This window comes from Homo sapiens, chromosome 9, assembly GCF_000001405.40.
Source record: "Homo sapiens chromosome 9, GRCh38.p14 Primary Assembly".
NCBI lineage: Eukaryota > Metazoa > Chordata > Mammalia > Primates > Hominidae > Homo > Homo sapiens.
In genome coordinates this window covers 112,573,788-112,588,071 of record NC_000009.12, presented here as the reverse complement: position 1 = coordinate 112,588,071, position 14,284 = coordinate 112,573,788, and the positions used below count along the sequence as shown (strand labels likewise).

General features: G+C 38.2%; 1 protein-coding gene across 4 annotated transcripts in view; it reads right to left on the bottom strand.

Moving 5' to 3' along the window:
* The window catches only part of KIAA1958, a 182,571-nt gene that overhangs the window by 81,326 nt on the left and 86,961 nt on the right, over positions 1-14,284 (bottom strand). For all 4 annotated transcript variants that reach the window (NM_001287036.2, NM_133465.4, NM_001287038.2 and 1 more), the window contains exon 2: positions 12,821-14,015. In NM_001287036.2, the coding sequence (NP_001273965.1) occupies positions 12,821-13,991 (1,171 nt within the window). In that variant the 5' untranslated portion in view covers positions 13,992-14,015. The remainder of the gene's footprint in view (positions 1-12,820; positions 14,016-14,284) is intronic.

Below are 14,284 nucleotides of genomic sequence, written 5' to 3'. Positions count from 1 at the left end.
TAGGGACACTGATATCCCTAATATCCTCATCCTTAGGTGGAGAAAATATATTTATTTCCTCTCTCATTATTTTAACTTCTTCTACTGCTTAATTGTGTATTTTAATAACCCAACAATCAAATTGGAAAGTTAACAAAAATGAGTTAAATCCTCATCTTTCACAGCAGAGTCTATGGATATTTTATTAAGTTGATAAATCAAGAAACAGAGGTATATGCATTTGTTCAGATTTTTGGAAGAATTGAAAACAAGTTTCCTTTGAAGAGCTGGCATTGGGGTGAAAACCAAGGTGAGACATTGTTACTATTCAGGAATATTACTGTTTTATTGATTGCCATATATATGTATTACCATGACAAAAATAAAGAAAATTGAAAAAGGCAATAAAAATGCTTTCTTTGGGTCTAAGAAAGCAATCCTATCCATTTTAAGGCAGTACTAAAAAAGCAGACTGATAGGTGTATCATAATGGTCAATAAGCCAACTAAGGTGCATCAATCATTATATCAGATTTACTTGATTATAAATCTGATCACTGTTCTTACCTAAAGCAAGCATAAAATAGCCTTGAAGGCATAAAGCATGTTTTTTTCATTTTTGCCATGCTCTAAAAATACTTCTGGGCCAGGCGCAGTAGCTCATGCCTGTAATCCCAGCACTTTGGGGGGCCAAAGCGGGTGGATCACTTGAGGTCAGGTGTTTGAGACCAGCCTGGCCAACATGGTGAAACCCCGTCTCTACTTAAAATACAAAAATTAGCCAGGCATTGTGGCGCATGCCTGTAATCCCAGCTACTTAGGAGGCTGAGGTATGAGAATTGCTTGAACCTGGGAGGCGGGGGTTGCAGTGAGTCGAGATCGCGCCACTGCACTCCAGTCTGGGAGACAGAGTGAGACTGTCTCAAAAAAAGAATATTAATAAAATAAAAATACTTCTGGTTCTAATACACTTTTTTGGGGACACAAGCCATTAGTTACATAAATATGATCTATATTGAAAGAGAAGCTATTGCTGGACCTAAAATGAAGCGGATCACCTGCATTCTGCTCACTCCTGCTGAGACCCAAGATGGTCAGGCAGCTCTACCTGTGGGGAGAAGGGGGCTGCTGCTTTGCTAATGAAAATAGACACGGCAATAACATTTGAATTAATGGGATGCTGGAGCTAAGGCCTCAGTGCCCTGACACTGACTTGTTTGACCTGAGGTTGTACATTATTTCCTCTTTTCAGACCTCAAGGAATGGATACCAAGCTAGAAAGGTCAACACCTCTTCAGTTCTGAAGTGGTTCCTGGCATCCTCGCAGTCTTAGTCAAATCCAATTCACTGAAAGAAAATTATATTCTGAGGTTTACAGCTATTTGCTAGATTGCTGCATTTGGGTATATTTCGCATATTTGGAAGTCTTAATCATACACAGGCAAACTTTAAATACATCTAAATAATATAGTTTTTATTTCATTGGTATAATATGAAAATGCCCTTGAAGAAATAAAAAGCCAATTGGGAAGATTTTTTTTTGTGAAATACTAATACAAATCATACTAAAATAGGATTTGCAAGCATTTTAAAAAGCTATTGAAACATAATTTCTCAGAAAATTATGCATTTGTACAACACAGAGCAATCTGCCTTTCTACTTTTGCCTTTCAGATACTAGTAAACAATTATATGTTTAGTTCTTAAAGAAGGTCACTAGTCCACAAAAATAAGCAATATTACAATTTCAATACAGCTAGGCTTGTTATTTTTAGCTGAGTAGAAAGTGTTTCGAATAAATTATGACATGGAATGGGTTAGCCTCTACACTTTTAATTTCCACCTAAGAAAGATTTGCCTCTCATTTATCACAGTGGCTTAATTGTTCATTTAACCACTGTTATTCATATATCACCCTTGATAAATGTCTTATCTAAAGGCAACCAATTTATTCTTACAAAATCATTCACAATTTGATTAACAGCATCTTGGTTCTGGAAATATTTAAAAGTTTTGTTTTGTTTTTAAACTAGGGGTGTTTGAGATGTCTTTCTTTCATTAGAATGTAGGCAGCATGAGAACAGGAACCATGTTTTTTCTCTGTTGCTGTATCCAAAGTACCTAATCTGAACTTGGCACTTTGTAGGCTTCCAATGGGTATTTGTTGGATGAATGGATGATCATTACATGCTTCAAAACTCTTCAAACTGCTTTATCCTACATATAGAGGACTTAACAATATGACTTCACTGCAGATCTCTGTGCCCTGAAGACCTTTCAGTATTACTTAAAATAGTGTTGTGCCTTTGGACAGGGAATATGTGTGTGACAACAAAGACTCTAAGAGGCCAAACACTCACAGGTCACCAAGTTCTGTATTTTAACTCCTGAAACACCTGCCTGTCTCCTCCTCTCCAATGCCTTCACTGTTATCTCATGTGAGCATTACTGCCATCTCCCACCTGGATTACTGTCACCCTATAAAACAGCCCTCCTGTCCCAGCCTCTACTTCCCCAATACTATCAGCGTGATCTTCTAAGATAATGAACTGTGTCCCCCTGAGCCCCGTGGAGGACACTGTGACATCACATGCACAGCCTTTCACAGGTGGCTTTCCAGCCCATCTTTCCAGCAGCAACTCTCCTGGCTCCATTGAGATATATTCTCAAGCTACAGTCAACTCCTTGCTTCTCTAACATCTTTGCTCACGTTATTCCTTCTACCTGAAATATACTTCCATGTGTTCCCTGAGGCTGAGTCAACCACTCTTCATAAATCTTCAGCTATATTTTATACACCTCCTTATACACTTGAAGTTGAAGTTGTTGGTTTGTCTGCTTCTTTTATAAACAATGATATCCTTGAGGCAGGAAATTTAATATTCTTCTTTTTATCTCCACCAGTCTAGCACAGTGCTTGTCACAAAGTTGATCCTAAAAACAGGTCTGATAAACTGAAGTGTAAGTGACTTGTGCAGATACTTAATAGAAAAAAGACTAAGAGACATGTCTCCCTGATCCTCAGTCAATCCTTCTGTTAAACTCTAGGTCCTTTTTGATTCTAATTTTAAAAATAAATGACCTCTTTAGGATATAACCTAGCAGTCTCGACTTTGGATAAGTGATGGGCATGATGTGACATAAAAGGAGAGGAAGGGGAAGCAGTCGGCAGTTTAGACTACTCCTGTACCAATGCAGGCAAAGGCGGGGCGGGGAGCATGGTGCATGCTGGTCGCCAACCCTGTCCCTCTCGGTTCACAAGGAGGGGGCCAGGTTCCCTCTCACCCGTCATAACTTCAACCAAACCATCTACCTTCTTTGTGTGTCATTTCCATCAGTAAAATAAAGGAAATAACCTCTCACTTTGTGGAACTCAGGCAATGTTGATCCTCGAATAAAAGTACTGCATAGATAACAGACATTTTATTTTTGTGTTTTTTATTTATTCCAACAGAAGAACTTTAAAAAAACTTTCCCATGACAGCATCCCATCACAATCATAAGGAGAAAACCCATAGTGTTAAAATTTGTGAGGATAATTCTCAAATTCCTTGTCCATAAACAAATATACTAGAAGACAGTAGTAGTAACTTTTGCTTTCTAACAAAAATACTCCACATTCGGTAACAGCAATAATGTTACAATGCCTTCGTAAATATTCCACAATCAATTTTATTTATGCTTCATGATCTATTTTTAAAAGTAATCACATTTTTAAACATCCAAAAAAGTATACGGAATACCAGCTAGAGTATGTTTACCATGAACCAGAGGGCTTTGTATAGCTCAACTTAATCTATATATATATCAACCCTATAGAATTGCTTTATTAGCATCTTTATCTTACAGATGAGAAAACTAAGCCACAGAAAGGTTAAGTAACTTGCCACAGTCACCCAGAAAAGAAGGGGGCAGGGCTGGGATATGAATCCAGGCTGTTGTGTGTAAAGTTCAACCCTGAAGCATTGTGCTAAGGTTGCCTCCTGTTAACATAAACTCATGTTCCCATCACTCAGATTTTTTTTTTTAAGAGACTGGGTCTTGCTGTTGTTCAGGCTGGCGTGCAGTGGCACAATCATAGCTCACTGCAGCCTTAAACTCCCGGGCTCAAGTGATCCTCCCACCTCAGCCTTCCAGAGTGCTGAGTGCCCACCACTCAGATTTAATAAATGTTCACATTTTGCTATATATATTACATACGTATTTTAAAAAATTATAGATACAGTTTAAGCTTCCCATGTACCTGTTTCCATTACCCCCTCCTCGAAGAAAACCACTACTGTGTATCTGGGGTGTCTCCTTCCAGTCCATGTTTAATTAAGTGTGTGTGTCTGTGTAACACACACTACATCGTAATGTTCATGTGCTTTAAACAGGTATGGTATTACTCTAATATATAATAATATTCTGCAACTTTGTCTTCCAAGATTTATACACAATAAATGTACATCTGGCTGATTCATCTATTTCACTGAAAAATATATCACAATATATTTATCTATTTCCCTATTGATAGACACTAAGGTTAACTGATTTTTTTCTCCTGTTATCAAGAAGTTGCACTGTAGACCCCTGTACATATCTCCTTTTATATACTATGAGAAAGTCTAAGACAGGCATTTAAAAATTGAATTCCAAGGTTGTATGATACGCACACTTTAAACTTTGATATTGTAAATTGCTCTCCAAAGTAGTTGTACCAATTTATATTTCCACCAGCATGTCCCCATTTTCTCATACCTTCAATAACACTTGGAATACTTAAAATTAATACTTTTTGCCTTTCTAATGGGAGTAAGATAGTATCTTGTTGTTTTAATTTGCATCTCTGTGCTCCCCCAGTCTGATGTGGATGCATTTGACTGGCAAAGCCTAAGGTCACAGGACTGCCCTTGCTGAAATGTAAACCTGGAAAGCAAGTTTCTGGCTTCTCCTATGGGGAGGTACACATGCACAAAGGAGGGAATTCTCTCACATAGATAGGAAGAGTGCTCAACATTACTGGGTGGCCAGATGAAATGACAATGTAGGCTGTAACCTGAATTTCCTAGATCACTGCTTCTCAAGCTCTAATGCGCATACAAAATCACCTGGAGATCTTTTTAAATGCAGATTCTGATTTTGTGGAGCCTGAGATTCTGCATTTGTTTTCTTTTCAGAGAGATTCATTCAATAAACATGTAACAAGCCCCTGTCAATGCCAGAGAATTGTATGTGCTGCTTCAGTGACAGCCATGTCCATGTCACTGAATCCTTCCCTCCGCCCTTCATAGGAAGCATGGGAACTCATTCCACAGAACTAGTGGGTACTGAACAGAAGCTGTCATCTTTGGTTATGGATTCGGTTTTTTTGTCTGTTTTTTTTTTTTTTCAGGGCTATTGCTGTTTCTCCTCCCTTTAGTTGAAATAAGAGCTGTTCTTTGGATTATGCCACTCTATCTGATCCTCTAAAGGATTAGAGGGCTGAGTTGTCACTTGCCTAATATAGTCCTTTGTCCTCTAGATCCCACGTGTGGATGGCGAGTAAGACCTGAAAGTGTCCTGAGACATAGCTTAGGTCTTCAGAGATGTCTATGTTTCCCTGAGCTGCTGAATCATCGAGCAGGTGAGAACAAGTCACTCTTACGGCCATTCATATTCCACTCTCTCTGCTTTCTCTTGGTCCCTTGGCCTAACAACTGTTTCTTTAAAAATTTTTTTAATTTTTAATTTTTGTGGGTACATAGTAGGTGTATATATTTATGGGTTACATGAGATATTTTGATACAGGCATGCAAATGTGTAATAATCACATCATGGAGAATGGGGTATTCAGCCCCTCAAGCATTTATCCTTTGTTACAGACAATCCAATTATACTTCTCTAGTCATTTAAAAATGTACAATTAAGTTATTATTGACTACAGTCACCCGTTGTGCTATCCCAACTCTTTACTACTCAAGTAAATGAGCAAAAAATGTGACAGTGTGACTGTCACGCCTTTCCTTTCCTAAGCCTGATACTGTCTGTAGACTTGAAACCAGTGCCTATGCCTTCCCAGCGCTGAAGCGGTGAAGCTTCCCTAATGAGGTAATAGGGCTGCTCAACTGCAGTGAGTTTGCATTCATGGGTATGTGGCTCTGACAGTGGGGAAAGGTGGCAACAAGAGGTGGGCTGAATGCATCCCCCAGGACTAGCATGTCAGGGAAGAGTTGAGTCTGGTCTGATCTCAGACGTGACCAAGAAAACCAAGGCTTCCAGTGAGTCCCTTCACCTCACCTTGGTGGTGTTCTTGGGTGGCTGCACATTCTCTGAGATCTCAGCTCTCCAGTTCCTAACAGGATTGTGACAGAGGTTAAATGGGATAACTAGTGTTGAAAGGTATCAGGCCTGTGAGCAGGGTTCAATGTTCCTTCCCTTCCCCTTTAGTGTATGACTTCCTATATCTGGGAAAGAATGCCCCCAAAGATCAGTTCCAAGGTTCACTTCCTGGATGAGTGAGGGAAATAAGGCTCTAGACTTTCCTATTAATCTCCGCTCCTGCACCCAGATCTGGCCCTGGGCACTGAGGGCTTGGGGGAGGCTGGGCAGACACAGCATTTTTGGTCTTTCCTCGCGGCCTCCTGAAACTCTGCATTTCTAATGTGCTCCCAGGTAATGCTGGTGGTGATACTGGTCCACGGACCATATTTTAGTAGACAAATGGGTGTAACTACATGAAACCAGAATCTACTTCACTTCTCACAGAGTATTGAGCACAATCTAATGATGATGATGATGAAAATAAAAATATTAATAAAGGCGGCTATTATCCATTTATTGAATGTTTATCATATGTCAGGTACTCTCTTTAGTGCTTTACCTATATTTTTGCATTTGGTCCTCACAATAACCCTGACAGGCAGACATTATCATTACTTTACAAATGAGGGAACTGAGTTTCAGAGAAGTGAAATGACGTAGCTAAGGTCACAAGGCCAGCAGGAGGCAGAGTAAGGAATAAACTCAAATACATCTGATTCTATTCATCTCTAAGAGATCTGAGAAAAAAATAAAAATAAATAAACACATCAGACTCTAAGCTCCGGGTGGCCAGGCTCCACTCTCTCAGCCCAGAGCTGCCTGCCATATCAATCTTCAGATGTGTACCCGGTTTGTGATAAGGAAGAAAATGATGGCAAAAATAAAAAGCTGAATTTTTACTTTGTCTCTCTTATTTTTCAAAAATTATAACTCAGCTCTTCCTTCAGGAAACTACAGGAAAAGGTTAAGAAATGGCTAAGAAAATAAATTTTAGTCTTGTTTCTTTCTTTGTGTTTTTTTTTTTTGAGATGGAGTCTCGCTCTGGAGCCCAGGCTGGAGTGCAGTGGCACAATCTTGGCTCACTGTAACCTCTGCCTCTGGGGTTCAGGCAATTCTCCTGCCTCAGCCTGCCGAATAGCTGGGACTACAGGCGCCTGCCACCACGCTGGGCTAATTTTTGTATTTTCAGAAGAGATGGGGTTTCACCATGTTGGCCAGGCTGGTCTTGAACTCCTGACCTCAGGTGATCCACTCGCCTTGGCCTCCCAAAGTGTTGGGATTACAGGCATGAGCCACTGTGCCCAGTTAGTCTTGTTTCTTCTTGTAAGAAGAGGCATATATTTCTCATGGAATAAAGAAATATATAAAATATGTGTCTATGTATATATATATACATATATATGTATGTATACACAAGCACACATATTTATACATATTTCCACACTTAGAACACTTTTCCAATATACACTGCCTTTAAATAAAACACGTAACAACTCTTCTTATCTGCCCACATAAAAAAAACTAAATGCTCAAAAGAAAACAAAACAAACCTCCCATAAACAGTAGTAGGAATCTCTGGTTTACTGCCCCTCTCAAGAATCATACCTAGAATGTTCTTGGAAGAATACTTCCACCCCACGCTCACACTCAGCTATGTAGTTTGTGTAGGCTTGGTCTCAATACCATTTCCAGGGTGGGGGCCTGATCCCCCTATGCGTGATTTAGGGGTGACTGGGAATGCTGTGACACAGGTTCTGTCTACTGCTAGACAAGAAACCAGCAGCACAACCATCTTGGGTCCACGCAGGGGTCAAGTATAACAGGTGAATCTAATAGGGAGGAAGGCAAGGTGGCAAATGGCAAGAGGGAAACTTGATGCTGTCTGAGCCTGAGTGAAAGCTGGTTTGAAAATCTGTCCTTGGACTATAAGGCAGTCAATTCTCTCCTTTAACTTATTTCAACTCAGATTTTTTGCTTCTGACAAGAGAAACCATTATCTATTATGTCAACACAGATCAAATAACTGGCAGTAATACATACCTTAATCAATTTTTAAAAGCTCACTGAACTCAATTTTACATGAGTAATTTTTCAAAAAGCATATTAAATGACTTAGACTACATTTCTTTCTGAATGCATTTTTTGTATAAAATACAATCACCATAAATTTATACAAATAAATACTCAAACAGTAAAAATCAGAAGAAAAAATAAAGAGATCAATAAAAACAGAACTGAAAACAAGAAAGAGACCCAATAATAAACAAAAATGTGGTATCTGAATCAATTCAGCGGAGAATGAGAATTATTCAACAAATGAAGCTGAGACACCTGACTACCTGCAAAAATAGTAACATGAGGTTCTACCCCAAAAGGTATTCTAACTGTAAAGTCAAATGTCAAAAAAAGAAAGGGAGAGGAGAGGAGAGAGAAAGAAAACCATAAAAGAATAAGAGGGAAATACAGAGAAATATTTATGTGATCCCAATGTATGGAAAGGACTTCCTAAGCAAAATACCAAAGACAGAAAAGATTGATTGACTGATAGATGTTGAAAGAATTGCCTTCATAAAAATTAAGAAAATTCACACCTTAAAAAAGGTCATCAACAAAATTAAAAGCTAATGGTAAAGTGGGAAATGTATTTCCAATATACGTGAGAGACTATGAGCTACTTGGGAAATGTATTTCCAATATACATGAGAGATTATGAGTTACTATTTCTAATATATCCAGAACCCATATGAATCTATTAGAAAAAGATAAATAAATTTTTTTAAAAGAAAAAATATATATACATACAAATCTGATAGGCAAAAATGGATTGCTTATACCACAGAACTGGGAAAAAAGCTGATTAATAAAAGGGATCCTTACACAAAATCATAAAAGAAGCTATGTGTATGTAAGTATATTGAAGAAATATAATATACACATAAAACCCTAACTCATGATGCGATAGAGATTTAAATGTCATTATGACAAATGCCCCAAATTTACATAAAACCTCAAAAATTAATGGAATCCAAGCTACTAGTAGGTAGTCAATAATTCTTCTAATAATAGATGCCCTCTTTACTCATTGTTTGCTAAGATTTGGATTGAGCAGTATGGCAGGATTGACATGAAAATTAATGATTTTATCTATACCTTGATTAACATTTTATAATTTTATGAGTTCAGCTCTGAACAGAAGTAGGGATGATTTTCCACTATGGGAATCAAATTTAAATGGCAACAGTAAAACCAAACAAAATGGAACAATTTCTCTTTGTTTCTGGCTGACTCAATAGTCATTTGTCAAATTATTTATTTTAAAAATATTATCTAAAGATACGCAGTATTTCTGCAATGATCTGATAAAGACTCAGTACAGAGCATCCATTTTAAAAGAACCTGACTTAGCTTTCAGAACCTGTCTTCTTTGCTTAGTCCCAAGTACGCTTTACATATTAACTGTGTAAGGTCCATCCGTAACCAAGTCATTCACATACATCTGGGTGTGCTAGATTCTAAATTTTTTAAAATCTATGTTTAGAAAGATTATCTACTATAAATAAACATGCAAACACAAACACATAACTAAAACTTTAGAACACAGAATCTAGTTAGGTACTAAAGTAAAAAGTAAATTTTATGTTAACTTTATACAGTTCACTCAAAAGAAAAATATGAGTCTGATTTTTATTTGTCCCACTGCTGTTTCCAGTTCAAACAGTATATCTCTAAAGCTAATGACATCTTAGCAATATGATACCCTTCCCGAGAACAATGGATCAAAATATGAGGACCATCCTTGGAAAATCGTCATGACCAGTCTTCATAGTGTTTTTCTTAAAGGTTTACCTCCAAGCCAAACTAATCCTCCTCTGAGAATAAAGCCAAATCACAATTTATGACAGTATATATTCTGTGCTCTCTTTGGCCATGCCAGCTTTTCATAGCTAATATAAGAAGTGCAATTTCCATGAGGGAAGAAAAAAACCTAAGAGAATGTAATACACACAATAATAAATGGATTCGTTTTTTTTTTTTCAAATAGGCTGAATTTCTTTCCCAAAATAATGAGACAGTAATATATTCATATATGGTTTAGCAAAGCGCCTCAGTGCCTCATTTACTATCCACAAGGCAGATGCAGAAAAGTCTTGCATCTTGCTTTGCAGGGATTAGTGAAAAGGTATGCAACACAACTAATACTCTCACCAAACTGGGTACACTGGACCACTTTGCAAAATACATTTCTGAATTCTACCCTATTTAAATGAAAAAAAAAAAAGGGGGGCAGGAGAGTTCAAATAAATAAATAAACTAGAACTAGGTTCATAACCATTTAAGTGAAAAGGTGCTACTTATATCCTACATATATCAAGAGTCAGATTTCCTAGAACAAAGACTTTCACCAGCCTAATAAAGATAACATTTTGTCTCATGATGAGATTAGTCAAGGACCACATTGTTATTCAATGATCAAAGTATAATTCATTAAAATATTTTTTAAAAGAAAGAAAGAAAAAGACAATCCATGGGATGGGAGAAAATACTTGCCAATTATATACCTGATAAGGATCTCATATTCAGCACACATAAAGAACTCCAAAAACTCACCAATAAGAAGGCAATTTTAAAATGGCCAAAAGATTTGAGTAGATATTTCTCAAAAGAAAATATACAAATGGCTAACAAGCACATGAAAAAAATCTCAGTACCATTAGTCATTAGGGTAATGCAAATCAAAACCCCAATAAGATACTACTTCACACACCCAATAGGATATTTATTATTTTTTTAAACATGAAAAATAACAAGTGTTGGTGACAATGTGGAGCAGTAAGAACCTTTATAGATTACTAGTGAGGCTGTACAATGATGGAGCTGCTTGGGAAAACAGTTTGACAGCTCCTCAAAAAGTTAAATACAAAGTTACCACAGGACCCAGCAATTCCACTCCTAGGTAGTTACCCAAGCAAGATAAACATACACACCCACACAAAAACCTGTTCACAAATGTTCACAGCAGCAGTATTCATAATAGCCAAAATATGAACACAACCCCAATGTCCATCAACTGATGAAAGGAAAAATAAAATATGGTATAGTCATACAACAAAATATTATTTGGCAATAAAAAGGAAAGAAACGCTACAACATGGATTAACCTTGAAAACATAATGCTAAGTGTAAGAGGGTGGTCACAAAAGACCACATAATATATGATTCCATGTATATGAAACATATAGAATAGGAAAATCCATAGACAGAAAGCAGATTAGCAGTTGCCAGGAACTAAGAGGAGGGAAAAAGTGACTGTTAATGGGTATGGGATTTCTTTTTGGGGTGATGAAAATATTCTGAAATTAGATAATAGCGATAGTTGTACAACTCTATGAATACACCAAAACCCACTGAACTGTACACTTTAAAAGAGTGAATTTTATATGTGAACTGTATCTCAATAAAACTATTATTTAAAAAAAGATAAAAGTGAATAAACTGAAAAGCATAATCTTCAATCAGGATATAAATATTTTCAGTGAATATCTTCTTAATAACACCATGACTATGTCTTCAAAAAAATCATAAATGAAAGGTCTTCTTTGGGAATCTTAAAGTTGATACTAAAATTGGAAAAAAGAAGTTTGTAAAGCAACTTAATCCAAGGACGTTTCAGGATGAAGGCACAGGGGCCTCAGGTTTCTAGGAAGCTTTTCCCAAAATACACGACGTTTTTGAGAAGGGCTGAAATAAACTAAAACATGCCACAGATTTCTGCACATTTGTTCATCCTTGTCCACGTTTCTATTCTAGCCTACTAGAATTGAGTCATGAAGCCAAAGCATGAGATCCAACCCCTTTATATACTAATGGCCCAGATTAAATAAACATTGAATGTCAGAATTAAAGAACATTAGAACGTTAGAATTACAGGTGCAGGGGCCTCGTACAATTATTTCATTCTCCTCTCAATCCATTCCCATTGGCTCACAGATTCCAGAAATGCAAGTTTCCATATTCTTTTAAATTTTAAGAGAAAAGATCAAATACCTCTTTTAGAAATGTACATTGCTTTTTAAAATACTTATTAACTACCAGAGCAACTAAAATGAATAGCAACGTCAAGTTGGCTCAGTCAAATAAATAATACGAAAAGCATTAGGTCTATTGTCATGATATGCCTTACCCAACATTATTTTGGCTTCAAACAGCAACTAAACACCTTGCTACTGATGGAGAAGCATATTTTTAAAACTTTCAAAAATAACTTTACTATATAAAAATTCAGCTGACAGGTATCAACCTTAAATCTAACGCTGCAATATCAACAGAACAATCTTACAGCTGTCCTCTCAGCCCTAAGGTACGTCAACTAGATATGGCCATAATTCTTATGAATTTCCTGTATAGTATCACCTGGATGTAACACAGTCATTGTTTCTATCTTTCTATGACTAACAAAGGACTGAATTCTAGCAAACTGAGTGAATGGTTTTAGAAGTGCTGACGGCGCAGAATTCTGGCGTGCGTGGATGAGGGACTCACTGTCGCCTCATGTGCCATACCTGGTATGCACTGTGCTGTGGCCTCAGTGGTTATGGCTGGAGCGACTGGGGGCTGCTGCTGACTGGAGCTCACTTCTGGCTCTGTGTTAACTGAGGGAGAAAGGGCTACCTCACAGGAGGAGACCTGGCTGGGCAGATGGGACAGGAACTCTTCAGAGGCAACTTGCTCATCCTGTCCAGGCAGCTGCAGGGCAGACAAGGGGATACTGATCTGTTTGTTAGGATGGGATGTGCTCACAGGCATTTGCATGGCCACCTGTTGGTTGGTGCCATGTGTACCAGGGGGTCCTCTGTTTGGTGAAGCCAGAGATACCCTAGCAGTCTTCTGGACAATTGGTCTGGAGATCACAGAGGGGGATGCAGACATACCGTGTGGGTCTAGCTCCGTGCTGATGGCAGATGTGACATGGGGAATCAGTTTAGCAGACCCTACACAGGAGGGACCAGCGTGAGTCTGAGGCTTGGGTTTTGCCATCTGTGTCAAGGACAGGGCTGGTCCATCTACTCCTCCTGTCAGTTCTGCATTTGCCACAATGTAATAATCTTCGGGGATTTCTTGTTTGATTTTCTTGATGATGACATCATTGCTGCATTCGTCAACCATCTGCGTCTGGGAGCTTGAATGGAGGGAAGATGGGACTACCCCAGGTCTTTTGCGAGCAATGCTTTGAGGCCTTTGGGTTTGGGGTTCAAAGTCACTATCCTCATCTGTAACAGAAGACTCACAAACCATGTCAAACAGGGTGTTCTCATCTTCATATTCTTCAACAGTTTCATCCAGTTCAGAGGGCTCACTACAGTAGGAGAAGTCACAAGAGTCTCTGGTCCGGTTACAGTCTAGCTTTGCTTTCACTGGTCTCCCAGGGTACCTTTCAACAGGGCTAGTCTGTGTCTCAGAGGGCACCCCGATTATACTGGGACTATCAGAGTTAAAACTTCTGTTATCCTGGAAACAGACCCTCTCTTGGGACCCAGCTCTGCAAGTAGCTGTTAGTGGCCAGTGATAAGCATGGCCAGCACTACAGCCCCACATTGCTGTCAGGTTCCCATGGGAACCTTCAGAAAGCAAGTGTTTCAGGTTTGGAATGAGGCTGCAAATAGTCCCATGGCTATGGGCCCAGCTGACCAATTTGGACAGATTCTCAGATGAGGTATGAAGACAATCCTCCATGTTACAGGATCAGCAGTGTCACTCCTAAAGGGAAATAATCAAAAGAAGAAGCCATTATTACCCAAGATAATCCTATAGCTCAATTACTTCAGTTTGTTCCAAATATGATCATTTGGCATAAAAAAAAAACGCACTTCAAAACTGAATCTAGTTAAGGTCGCTGTAGATGAGCAGGGACTGGAAGAGAATACCAGGAAAAGTAAAAACAGCTGATGACTGATGGTTGTGGGATTTGGAGAAAAATTTTGTTACTTTTCTTTATTGTTATAATAATTCCTGCCTAAGGGGGGAAA